The sequence below is a fragment of the Homo sapiens genome, chromosome 2 (genome assembly GCF_000001405.40).
Source record: "Homo sapiens chromosome 2, GRCh38.p14 Primary Assembly".
In the NCBI taxonomy this organism is placed as follows: Eukaryota; Metazoa; Chordata; class Mammalia; order Primates; family Hominidae; genus Homo; species Homo sapiens.
The window spans coordinates 43209573-43221716 of NC_000002.12; the positions used below are offsets into that span (position 1 = coordinate 43209573).

The window sequence follows — 12144 nt, forward strand, 5'->3', positions numbered from 1 at the left end:
ATGATTCACTTAACCTCTGTCTGCTGGGGTTCTGGCTCCCATGATGGTTAGAACACCACCTTCTAGGATTGGTTCAAGGATGGCATGGCATAATAAGAACACTTTGAGGGAGGGGGTTTGACAGAGTATACTCCATAAATTATGGCCACTGTTATTATTATTATTATTGAGATGGAGTCTCAGTCTATCACCCAGGCTGGAGTGCAGTGGCGCAATCTCAGCTCACTGCAACCTCCGGCTCCCAGGTTCAAGTGATTCTCCTGCTTCGGCCTCCCTAGTAGCTGGGATTACAGGCGCGTGCCACCACGCCCAGCTAGTTTTTGTATTTTTAGTAGAGACAGGGTTTTGCCATGTTGGCCAGGCTGGTCTTGAACTCCTGACTCAGGTGATCCTCCCGCCTCAGCCTCCCAAAGTGCTGAGATTACAGGTGTGAGCCACTGCACCTGGCCATGGCCATTATTCTTAAAACGAGCAACTGGAGAACAGGGGACTATTGAGCTTGGCCAGATGTCCAGCTATGTATCCACAGGGGCCTCAGGAGTTTTCAGAGTGGGGAGCAAGGCCTCTGGCCTGGAGCAGACAGGGCTGCTTCCTAGAAGAGGAAGCCTCAGGTGCCAGGCTGAAGGGCTGGAAACTGGGAGCTGGTGGGAAGGAAGGTGTCTGGGCCAGGATGTGGAGTGGGGCAGGGAGGAGGTGCGCCTTTGAGTGTATGTGAGAGAGACAGAGACAGCTGGCCCTGAGGCCACCGTACAGGTGTGAACAGGTGAGCCGTGAACCCCATGCTGATTCTTTGCAGGGCAAGGGGCTCCTATGCCAGGGAGAGGCCTCTGGGACACAGGAGCGCTGTGGGGTAGGGAAGCCTGCACGCCTCACACGTGGGGGATGCATGGCCTGCAACTGACCAGAAGAAGCCCAGTTAGGCCCTGGCTGGGCTCTCCTTTGGTGCTATCCCTTGGGCCAGTATCAAGAGCTGCAGATGTGCACGCCTATGGAGCTCTTGGGAGCCTCAGCCCTCACGCCCCCATCATCACCCCCCAGCCAGCCCACGGGGCCTCAGGTGGCGGGAAGGCAGGACCGCAGGGCCTGTGGCAGGGCAGGGAAAGGCACGGAATGGTGTTTACATTTTCCCTCCTTCCCTGCTGGCCTGGCGGTTACACCACTGCGGTTTGTTGGCCCCAGGGAGCGCCTCCCTTACATAACGCCTGACATAACTGCCCTAAAACACACGCATGGCAACTCCCACATAGCACCACACATGCTGTCATGCCGGCTCACCCCCCCACACTCACACACACTCACAGAGCCACACCACAGCCTCACGCACTCACACACACACACCCCTTCCCACACACGCTGTCATCCCAATGCTGTCATTTCAGAAAGGATTTCTTTTGCTCCCACCACCCATCACACAGGCAGGGCCTCCCCGACGTGGCTTCAGTGCCTCTGGTTCCTCAGGCCCCAGGAGCCCTGAGCCCACTGGGACTGCTCCAGGCCTCGCCTGGGTCTCCCAGGTGGCAGCCTCAGACTGTGGTGCCAGCCTAGGCAGTGGACGACAACAGGGGGACTTGAGAACAGGGCAGGGAGTCGGAGAAAGACCAGAGTCCAGGCTGGAGCCCCTGAGATGTGGACTCCAGAAACTCAGAACAGGCAGTGGGGAGGGACAGACAGGGAGGGACGCGGCCTCCGAGGTATTATACTTAGTGCAACATGTTACTACGAGGGCAGGCTTCAAGCATTTAATGCATGATGGGCCAGGCGCAGTGGCTAACGCCTATAATCCCAGCACTTTGGCAGGCCGGAGGATGGCTTGAGCTCAGGAGTTCGACACCAGCCTGGACAACATAGCGAGACCCCCTGTCTATAAAAAATAAAATAATACTATAAATTAGGAAAAATGCATGTGACCCTCCCAAGAAACACGTGAGCCACACTGTGACCCATGCATGCTACTTCTCGGGATTCATCTGATGGAGATATTCACCCAAGGCCCTGAGTTAAAAAAACGTTCATGCTGCAATGTTGGTAAAAGCAAAATAATGCAGAGCCTCCCTGTCCATCCCCTGGACCCTCACAAACAGAGCCACATGCAGCCATGTTCCAATGCCCTAAATGATAGGTCAGGGGAGAGAATGACCCCATTTTGTGACTGAAACCATATATGAATGTGTGTGTATAAATATTTGTAGATAGGTGCCTCACCAGATCTCTGGAATGCCTTACACAAAGTGGCCACAAAGTGGCCACATTTGCTGAGTGGGCCTGAGGAGGAAGGTTAAGGGGGCCTTTTCCACTTGCACGTATTGGGATTCACTGCAGCTGTTGGAATATTCATAACAAGCAGGCATGAGTTCCAAATAAGAGGAAAAAATTGGCCAGGAGCGGTGGCTTACACCTGTAATCCCAGCACTTTGGGAGGCTGAGGAGGGCGGATCACCCGAGCTCAGGAGTTCAAGACCAGCCTGACCAACATGGTGAAACCCTGTCTCTACAAAAATACAAAAAAATTAGCCGGGCATGATGGTGGGTGCCTGTAATTCCAGCTACTCAGGAGGCTGAGGCAGGAGAATCGCTTGAACCCGGGAGGCGGAGGTTGCAGTGAGCCGAGATAGTGCCATTGTACTCCAGCCTGGCAACAGAGCAAGACTCTGTCTCAAAAAAAAAAAAAAAAAAAGATAAAAAAGAGGAAAAAATCAACATGAGGTTCCTTGTACCAAGGAATAGTGCATCTTTGCCTCTTCTGAATGGCTGGGACACTCCGCCCTCTTTGTGAGGGCCTGGGGCGGCATCATGGCGCTGCCACTTATGCACTGGGAGACCTCAGGCAAGCATCTTTCATTCTCTGAGCTCCATTTTCCTCATCTGTCCAATGGGAGCGAACAGGGCCAGTCTCACAGGGCAGATTGGTTTTGTCGTAGAAACAGTTACTGAAGCCCTTCGAGGAGCCAGGCTTGGGGGCTGCAAGGAGGAACACAATGTTCTTGCTTTGAAGGAACTGACAGGGTAGAGAGGAAGACAGACATAACCAGTTGTTGTGGGATGCTGTGATATGTGCTCTGATAAAGGCCTGGACAGTGCCCCGGTGGGGCCAGGGTTGGGTGGAGAGGCTAGATCTGAGTTTGAGATTCAGCCTGGGCTGACCGCGGAGGGAAGAGGCGAGGAAGCAGGGGGTCACAAGGGGATGTCCCAGGCAGGGGTGGAAGGAAAGTAAAGGGCCCAGAGTGTGAACAGCATCTCTAGGAATCCTTGGTGCTCCCGAGCAGCTAAGAAGCAAGGAGCATAGGCAGAGGAGGGAGGTTTTTCCGGATCCCAGAGCCTCCTTGGACTTGAACAGTGGGTGGTGGGACCCTGTGTAGCGTCCTAGGGCAGAGAAGAGTATGATCACCCAAGTGCTTTACAACCTTGCTCTAGAGGAGTGGTGGCCTGGAAGAGGACCAGCCAGGGCTCCTGGTTGACAAGGTGTCTGGGTGAGCGTGGGGCAGGCCTGAGTTGCAGAGGAGCTAGAGACAAAGGGGGCAAAGTCAAGGCCTGGTTAGAAAGCAGAGTCATGATGGTTGGGCAACCTATGAGGGAAGGGGTAGAGGGAAGTGAGAGAAAAGACTGGGGAAGCGTGCCAAGTTCTGGCATGGGTTCCTTGAGAGATGTGGTGTCACATGCTTGGGGACAGGGACAACTGGAGGGGTTGGTGTGAGGTGCATCTGGGAGGAGGTGGGTCCCAGACTGCTGAGTGGGGCTGAGAGATGCCAGCACGTGTGGGCAGTTAGGCAGAGCTCAGTCCCTTCCCCTCTCCACTGGCACTTTCAATCTGCCAGGTGGAGCAGTAGTTTGGGAATATTCTGGAGTCTCTTGGCTTTTGGAAGGAAGGAGAACCAGCAAGGACATCATGGGGGTATCCCAGGACCTGCTGCTGGAAGCATCTTTCCTTCAGCTGTTGGTATTTTAATAGAACATTCTAGACTCACAGTGCTGTCCAACAGAACTTTTGTGATGACAGAAATGTTCTGTGCTGTTTAATGCAGTAGCCCCTAGCTCCATGTGGCAACTGAATACTTAAAACGTAGCTATCTAGTATGGCTGAGGAAGTGAGTTTTACATTTTGCTTACTTTTAATTAATTTAAATCTAAATGGCTACACGCACAGCTACAAACCCTGGGAGTTTGGTGGGGGCAAACCATGGGGCCTTCCTGATGCCCATCAGATTGGATGCCTACTGATTAGAAGTGGAAAAATACCCCAAAATGGTAATAACAAACAAACCATAAATATTGCACTTTTTTTTTTTGAGACGGAGTTTCACTCTTGTCGCCCAGGCTGGAGTGCAGTGGTGCAATCTCGGCTCACCGCAACCTCCGCCTCCCAGGTTCAAGCGATTCTCCTGCCTCAGCCCTCTAGTAGCTGGGATTACAGGCATGCACCACCATGCCCAGCTAATTTTGTATTTTTAATAGGGATGGGGTTTCTCCATGTTGGTCAGGCTGGTCTTTTTTTTTTTTTTTTTTTGAGACAGGTTCTGGCCCACATGGCAAAACCCCGTCTCTACTGAAATACAAAAAATTAGCCGGGCATGATGGCGGGCGTCTGTAATCCCAGCTACTCGCGAGGCTCAGACAGGAGAATCACTTGAACCTGGGAGGCGGAGGTTGCGGTGAGCCGAGATCACGCCACTGCACTGCAGCCTGGGTGACAGAGCAACACTCTGCGTCAAAAAAAAAAAGAAAGAAAGAAAAGAAAAGAAAAAAGAAAACTGAAGTTCAGATTTGCTTGAGGTCACGCAGGTAGGAGGCAGCACTGGGCTGAGATTTGATTGCAGTCCAATGGGAGCCCCTGCTTGTAACCCCTTAGGGCCAGGCCCTTCCACAGCCATGGAGGTAATGCCTGCCCAAGCTCCCTCCGGTCCCAGCCCCTGCAGCGGCTCTGGACCTACAGGGCTATTGTTGGCAAGCTCCTGCCTGTCAGCCCCACAGACTCTCTGGGCCCCCTCTGAGAAGCCTGCTGGATGGAACATCCAGGGACCAGCCATGCTGAGCCTCTCAGCCAAGAAGGATTTGGGTTTGCTTTGGTGAGAATCGACACCAACAGCCCTATTGGCACAGCGCACGCTCAGGGAGGTGTCCTGGGTTCTTTCTTTTCCAAGTGCTAGGTAGAGACCCAGAAACTGGCAAGTCTCCAGAGGGGTGCCCCTACCCCTTCTCAACCTTAAGTTTCTCATCTATGGAATGAGAGGGCTACACTAAGTCATGGGTTTTTATTTTTTATTTTTTTTTGAAACGGAGTCTTGCTCTGTTGCCCAGGCTGGAGTGCAGTGGCGAGATCTCGGCTCACTGCAACCTCCGCCTCCGGGTTCAAGTGATTCTTGTGCCTCAGCTTCCTGAGTAGCTGAGATTACAGGCGTTTGCCACCACGCATGCCTGGCTAATTTTTGTATTTTTAGTAGAGATGGGGTTTTGCCATGATGGCTAGGCTGGTCTCGAACTCCTGACCTCAGGTGATCTGCCCACCTCGGCCTCCCATGGTGCTGGGATTACAGTTGTGAGCCACTACACCCAGCGGTCAGTGGTTTTTAAACCTTTTTTAGCATTAAAATTCTTATTATTTTTATTCTTATCATTTTTAGAGACAAGGTCTCACTCTGTTACTTGGGCCAGAGTGCAGTGACATGATCATAGTTCACTGCAGCCTCAAACTCCTGGGCTCCGGGGATTCTCCTACCTCAGTCTCCTGAGCAGCTGGGACTACAGGTGAGTGCCACCACGCCCAGCTAGTTTTTGTATTGTTTGTAGAGATGGGGTTTCGCCATGTTGCCCAGTCTGGTCTCAAATTCCTGGACTCAAGTGATCCGTCCGCCTCAGCTTCCCAAAATGCTGGGATTATAGGCAGGAGCCACTGTGCCCAGCTGTGTTTTAAAAAACAGATGAGGCCAGGTGTGGTGGCTCATGCCTATAATCCCAGCACTTTGGGAGGCTGAGGTGGGCGGATCACTTGAGCCCAGGAGTTTGAGACCAGCCTGGGCACAATGGTGAGACCCTGTCTCTATTAAAAACAAAACAAAACAAAACAAAAAAATGCACAGATGAGGCAGGACACAGTCTACCCTGGAATGAAATCCTGGAGGGTTTCTTAAAGGATCAGGGCTTTATAGACAGGTGGGAGTAAAGCAGGAAGAAAGGGGTCAGGAAAGCAGCCTGTGGCATTTGAAAGAGCAAAAGCTTAGATTCCTTTGGATTCTTCCTTGACATTTCCTACCCCATGGCCGCAGGCATATAACAACTCCTCTGAGCTCAATTTCCTCATCTTTGAAATGGGAATAGCAATAGGACTTCGGTCTTGGGTTGTTATAGGACTTCATTAACATATGTAAAGCTTTAGTATATAATAGGAGCTCCATAAATAGTAGCTATTAGAATTGTTAAGGCATTCTGACCTGGAGAACTGTGAGCTTGGGCCAGGGTAGGAGGGGTAGCAGAAGGGGATGAAGTGTTCTATTACTAATAATAGCAGCCAGCCCGTGCTCCTCAACACACCACCTCCAGGCCCTGGGCAAGGCACTTTACATGTATTATCCCACTTAATCTTTATAACAGCAACTACATATTAACCCATTTTTCGAATGAAGAAACTGAGTCTCAAAGAGGCTGTGAACTGTGCTCAAGGTAACCCAGCGAGTAATTCGCAGCACCTGAGGATCCATTGCCCCCATCTGACTCCAGAGTCCCAGCTCTTTCCATGTGTGATAACCCTCTGCGCTCTGCAGTGAAAAACACAACTTTTTTTTTTTTTGGAGACAGAATCTTGCTCTGTTCCCCAGGCTGGAGTGCAGTGGTGCACTATCACTCCCAGCTAATTTGTTAAAGAGCCGGGCGCGGTGGCTCAGGCCTGTAATCCCAGCACTTTGGGAGGCCAAGGCAGATGAATCACGAGGTCAGGAGTTTGAGACCAGCCTGGCCAACACAGTAAAACCCTGTCTCTACTAAAAATACAAAAATTAGCCGGATGTGGTGGCAAGCACCTGTAGTCCCAGCTACTCAGGAGGCTGAGGCAGGAGAATCGCTTGAACCTGGGAGGCAGAGGTTGCAGTGAGCCAAGACTGCGCTATTGCATTCCAGCCTGGATGACAGAGCAAGACTCTGCCTCAAAAAAAAAAAAAAAAAAGAATATTTTGTAGAGAAGGGGTTTCACCACGTCCCCCAGGCTGGTCTCCAACTTCTGGGCTCAAGCGATCCTCCCGCCTGGGCCTCCCAAAGTGCTGGGATTACACGTGTGAGCCACCATGCCCGGTCCTTTCTTGCTTCTTCAGGCGCCTTCTGGGCCCTATGTGTGTTCAATTTCCCTGACAGATGCTCCCTTAGTACCATGTTCTTCCCCTTTATAGCCTGGATTTCAGCTTGTGATTATACTTTTTGAAAAAACTAAGATGGGCTGGGCGCAGTGGTTCATGCCTGTAATCCCAGCACTTTGGGAGGCCAAGGTGGGTGGATCACCTGAGGTCAGGAGTTCAAGACCAGCCTGGCCAACATGGAGAAACCCTGTCTCTACTAAAAACACAAAAATTAACCGGGCGTGGTGGTGCTTACCTGTAATCCCAGCTACTCAGGAGGCTGAAGCAGGAGGATCACTTGAACTCGGGAGGCGGAGGTTGCAGTGAGCCGAGATTGCACCACTGCACTCCAGTCTGGGTGATAGATAGATTCCATCTCCAAAAAAAAAAAAAAAAAAAAAAAAGAAAGTTTATGTTCACACACGGACTTCTACACTTGTGCATAGCAGGATTATTCAACATTCAACAGTAGCTAAAAAGTGGAAACAACCCAAAGTCCCATCCACTGGAATATTATTCAGTCATAAAAAAGGAATGAAGTTGATTTCTGCTACAACATGAATGAACCTTGAAATCATTATGCAGACTCCCTGAAGGCAGGAATAACACCTGTCAGCTCCCCTCTCTTAGCCCAGTGCAGGCATTTACTAGACAATGGAGAAGTCTCTGTGGGATGAATGAAAGGGCAGGGCTGGGCCAACAGACCCAGTATCCTGCCCCACTGCTGTGTGGGCTGAATGCGGGGGACCATGGAGGGGGATCTGTCTGTAAGTCTGAATCCCACCAGCTCTGGCCCTCAGCAAAATCTGCCTCCACCCTGCAGCCTCACCGACTTCCATCTGCATAACATGTGGCCCTGGATGTCAGTTAAGTCCCACCCAACTCTGGGACTAGATGTCAGTCTGGGCATCTTATAGGTGCTCAATAAAGTCCTGGCACATTGGCGTGGTGGGAGCTGAAGACTCCACAGCTGCCAGGCCAGGGAGAAACCACCAGGTAGCAGAAGATCATGTGGCCACATGCCTCAGCCAAGTTCCTCTCCCCTGACGTGCACCCCCCTCTGCTCAGGTTATTAGTGGTGCAGGGGAAACAAACAGCAGGTTTCCAATTACCCCGCAGCCCCTTCTCAAGTGGTGCAGGACTCAGACTGCCCGCCTGCAAGCAGTCACCACACCAGCAAGCAGTCACCACGGGAGCGGAGGTGGGATTTAGTAAGACAAGGCCCTCGGTCTGCATTTCAAAGGCCCGGGTTCCCTCTCCCCATAAAACCAACACTGAGCGCACTGGAGGGGACACAGGCGGCCCCACAGCCGCCTGGCCCCCTGCAGAGGGGTCACCGGGAATTCTGTGTTTCATCAAATATTGCTGGGCCATGGAGTTTTATTTGAAAATAATTTTAATTAGCCGGAAACTAGGAGTTTAATAAATGGAAAACAGAGAACTTTCCAAGGCCACAGCTGGGAAACACTTGGTTTTTTAAAAATTCCGCCTGGCGTCCCAGACCAGCTAAGCACCCTGACACGAGGGCCGGAGGAATCCACAAGAAAAACAAAGCTTATTTTTAGAGAAATATTTTAAACTTGGTTTCAGCGAGCTCAGGAGTTTTCTTGTCTGTCTCGAGTCCTTAATATCTTTCCTTCTATTTCAGAGCTGCCTCTCGCCCCAGAGGGCACAAGAGCTGCTATCTGACAGGAGCTATTTCTGCCCAGATGAAAATAAAAGGGCCCCTCCCCCTTCCCACAGAGTGAATTCTTTCTAAAAATGTCCCTGCAGACAGCCAGCGGCACCAAGGCCTGTCCTTGGCAGGTGTGCCCAGCAACAGAGGTGAGTCTGGGGTCCCTGCAAGGCAGGGGCCCACTGACCACCCTCCCACCCAGCCCTGCCCGGCCTGCTGCCCTGCAGGAAGCGGATGCCAGCCTGGCGGTCATTTCCGGGTTTTGAAAGCAGTTTTTAAACTTGAAAGAGCCATGCTAAAAAGGTCTGCTTTTCCTCCGTAGGTGTTGGTAACACCCACATACAGACACACCCACATGCACACCGCAGCAGACACATCCAGACCCAAATACACAGCAACACTTACAGCTGCTCACCCCCCACAGAGCCACACACCTACCCACACACAGCAGCAGCTACACACAGGCACACCCAAACCCACTCCCATAGATCACACACACACACACACACACACACACACACACCCAGACTCAGACATACCCCAAGGACCCACATACCTACCTACACAGCAACAGACATACCCAAACCCCCACCAGCCCTCACACACATCCACACATACTTACACACAGACACACCCATGTATACCAACACACACGCCCCTGCGTACACACCAACCCCCACATCACAACAGACACACCCACACCCAGGCACACCCCAAAGATCCACATACCTACATAGCAACAGATACACCCAAACCCACACCAGCACTCACACACATCCACACACACTTACACACAGACACACTCACATCCAAACACAGCCATACCCACAGACCCTCCCCCCACATAGCCTCCACATGCAGAAGCACACAGATCCACACACCAGTACTCCCCTAGGGCGACATCACACATGCAGACCCCTGAACACCTGCAGACGGAGCAACACCACAAACCTCTGCACACCCACAGACAGAAAAGGACGCAGAAACACGTACTAATACACTTCCCATACAGGCGCACCCCTCAGGCCTCCACACACGTGCACGGCATGCATGCGCGCGCGCACACACACACACAACACACACAACACACACACACACACTCTTTCAAGGTCTAGCAAAACCCATCAGGAGAGGTTGGGCCCTGGAGGTGCTGTGGCTTCCTGCTGCCCCGCTCCCTCCCGCCTCCTCCCTGCAGGGCTCCTCCTGGGGAGGCCTGTCCAGCTGCCAGGCCCCGCCCCGCCACAGCCCCCGCTGTCCTCCTCCCTCCCTCAGCCGTGCCAGCAGCGGCACAGAACTGGAATTGCCCTGGACGGCCACAGCTCTGCATATCCCCCAGGAGTGTGGACAAGAAAAAATAAACACAATTAGAGTTCACGACAATGGGCCCCTGATGGAAGGTAAGCCCGGCTAGCCTCTAAGGGCTGTGCCGGCTCCCACGAACTTCCAAGGCCGAGGACGGTGCCGAGACCCAACTTCCGGTCTCAAGAAAACTTGGTGAGAGTCACATCCGCCCTCACTTGTCACCACAAGCAAAACTGAAGGAGAGCGGGTGTTTGGGGACGGTTCCTTTCCGAGGTTCAGTGCTCTCTAGCGGGCTTCCTCCCTGCACATGGCCACCCTGGCGTTTTTCTGAGCGCCCCCAGGCAGGTTTTAGCACCGAGCATTCTAGTGCCGGGCCAGGCTGGCGGCCAAGAGCTAGGCCTGCTTGTTTTTCCTGCGTCGGGCCCACCAGGCCTGGCTCTGTCATCCGGGGTCCTGAGCCACTGCAGGGCTCACAATCCTCCATCTATTCCCTGGGGCTGGTGCAGAGCTTTGGCCTTCTGAATAGTTTTTTTGTGTGTGCTTTTTTTTTTTTCTTTTACACACCCAGCAGTAGATTCAGACAGCATGAGCGGTGGAAAATGTGTACATGCACACATCCTTTCTCTGAAATAAGTTAGAAGGTGGCACACACTAATTGGGCTGCTTAAAAAATACCTTAGTCTTCAGACATCCAGTGGAAACGCCACGATGAAGACATTCTAAACACCATCACATTCTGGGCTCATTTTCACAACTGACTACGGAGGAATTTTCTCCTGTAGTTTCTAAGTGCAACTCAGTCTTAGAGTCAACAGTCCGGGATGGGAATTTTGGTTTGTCATTACTTGCAATCTTTACTTCTATTTCCTTAATTTACAAGAAAACTTTTCTAAGGGTGATCAAGCAACGGTAGAGGTTTTTTTGCTGTTAATTTCCAGGCGCTGCAGGAAGACAATGACAGTACCCTCCACTGATCTGGGGCAAGAGGAAATTTCTGAATGATCCCCCCGTAGCTTTCCACGCTCCACTGGGTCTGCGATACAAAACTTCAGATCCTAACAGTTGGGCTTTTCAAACAAACCAGTTTTTAAAAATGAATGTGGCTTACCCCCAACATTCCAGCTGATCAAAAGTACTTGTTTAGAAAAATAAGTTTAGGAATGAAGTGGAAACAAGGCCTTTGAAATGCAGCTTAACCTAAATAGCACATTTTAGACTTTTCCTCCCCACTGCACATTCTTTATGGTGTAGGGGCCAGGGAGCCTGCAGTCTTCACCCCTCCTGAGCCCTCCTTGGCCTCGGGCTTCCTCTCCCCTGCTGCTGAGGCCTTCAGTCAGGGGCTGGCATCTGGGAGAACCTTGAAACTGTTTCCCATCCCCTTTGGCAGCAAGCAACAAGCACCAAAACGCTCCAGTTAACACCAGTGCAATCATCGTTAACGTGAAACAGCTGCCCGAGGCCTGGCGTATCCACCAGACCGCCCCCTCCCCTCCATGCTCAGCTGTGAGTCACCAGAGACCCCGGCTAAGGCAGGGCCCGGGAGGGAGCGGGGATGCGAGGATTGTTGATGGAGCCCAGCTGTTGTATATGAGAAAGCAAACTATTGCTAAATCTCTTACCTACCTTGGAAAAAGTGTCTGAACTGTGTGCATGAGGGACGGCGGTGGAGGAGAAGAAACATGAATTGATTTATGAACCCGATTTAAGTTCCTAAAGTGATTGTTTTAAAGTTAGAAACAGCCAGAGTCACTATAGTAAGATTTTGTTCAACCGTTTGCGAAATCAGCAGGCAAATCAATGTCTTTTTTTCCTTCCTTTTTCTAGAGACCTGGGTTGAATTTGCTTTCTGGT

At 51.6% G+C, this 12144-nt stretch overlaps 10 annotated features.

Moving 5' to 3' along the window:
- Positions 501–1095: an enhancer, noted in NCBI's record as "H3K27ac-H3K4me1 hESC enhancer chr2:43437212-43437806 (GRCh37/hg19 assembly coordinates)". NCBI's record gives its function as "activates a minimal SCP1, AML or CMV promoter by ChIP-STARR-seq in naive H9 embryonic stem cells {active_cell/tissue: H9 hESC(naive)}" and the evidence as "EXISTENCE:reporter gene assay evidence [ECO:0000049][PMID:30033119]".
- Positions 5076–5842: an enhancer, noted in NCBI's record as "H3K27ac-H3K4me1 hESC enhancer chr2:43441787-43442553 (GRCh37/hg19 assembly coordinates)". NCBI's record gives its function as "activates a minimal SCP1, AML or CMV promoter by ChIP-STARR-seq in naive H9 embryonic stem cells {active_cell/tissue: H9 hESC(naive)}" and the evidence as "EXISTENCE:reporter gene assay evidence [ECO:0000049][PMID:30033119]".
- Positions 8010–10587: an enhancer, noted in NCBI's record as "VISTA enhancer hs1909". NCBI's record gives its function as "enhancer in: somite[6/9] | limb[7/9] | heart[9/9]" and the evidence as "EXISTENCE:transgenic organism evidence [ECO:0001131][PMID:17130149]".
- Positions 8906–9435: an enhancer, noted in NCBI's record as "H3K27ac-H3K4me1 hESC enhancer chr2:43445617-43446146 (GRCh37/hg19 assembly coordinates)". NCBI's record gives its function as "activates a minimal SCP1, AML or CMV promoter by ChIP-STARR-seq in primed H9 embryonic stem cells {active_cell/tissue: H9 hESC(primed)}" and the evidence as "EXISTENCE:reporter gene assay evidence [ECO:0000049][PMID:30033119]".
- Positions 8999–9058: an enhancer, noted in NCBI's record as "active region_15663". NCBI's record gives its function as "activates an Ori minimal core promoter by ATAC-STARR-seq in GM12878 lymphoblastoid cells {active_cell/tissue: GM12878}" and the evidence as "EXISTENCE:reporter gene assay evidence [ECO:0000049][PMID:35858748]".
- Positions 9436–9965: an enhancer, noted in NCBI's record as "H3K27ac-H3K4me1 hESC enhancer chr2:43446147-43446676 (GRCh37/hg19 assembly coordinates)". NCBI's record gives its function as "activates a minimal SCP1, AML or CMV promoter by ChIP-STARR-seq in primed H9 embryonic stem cells {active_cell/tissue: H9 hESC(primed)}" and the evidence as "EXISTENCE:reporter gene assay evidence [ECO:0000049][PMID:30033119]".
- Positions 10129–10188: a silencer, noted in NCBI's record as "silent region_11420". NCBI's record gives its function as "represses an Ori minimal core promoter by ATAC-STARR-seq in GM12878 lymphoblastoid cells {active_cell/tissue: GM12878}" and the evidence as "EXISTENCE:reporter gene assay evidence [ECO:0000049][PMID:35858748]".
- Positions 10589–10648: an enhancer, noted in NCBI's record as "active region_15664". NCBI's record gives its function as "activates an Ori minimal core promoter by ATAC-STARR-seq in GM12878 lymphoblastoid cells {active_cell/tissue: GM12878}" and the evidence as "EXISTENCE:reporter gene assay evidence [ECO:0000049][PMID:35858748]".
- Positions 10719–10848: an enhancer, noted in NCBI's record as "active region_15665". NCBI's record gives its function as "activates an Ori minimal core promoter by ATAC-STARR-seq in GM12878 lymphoblastoid cells {active_cell/tissue: GM12878}" and the evidence as "EXISTENCE:reporter gene assay evidence [ECO:0000049][PMID:35858748]".
- Positions 11541–11590: an enhancer, noted in NCBI's record as "active region_15666". NCBI's record gives its function as "activates an Ori minimal core promoter by ATAC-STARR-seq in GM12878 lymphoblastoid cells {active_cell/tissue: GM12878}" and the evidence as "EXISTENCE:reporter gene assay evidence [ECO:0000049][PMID:35858748]".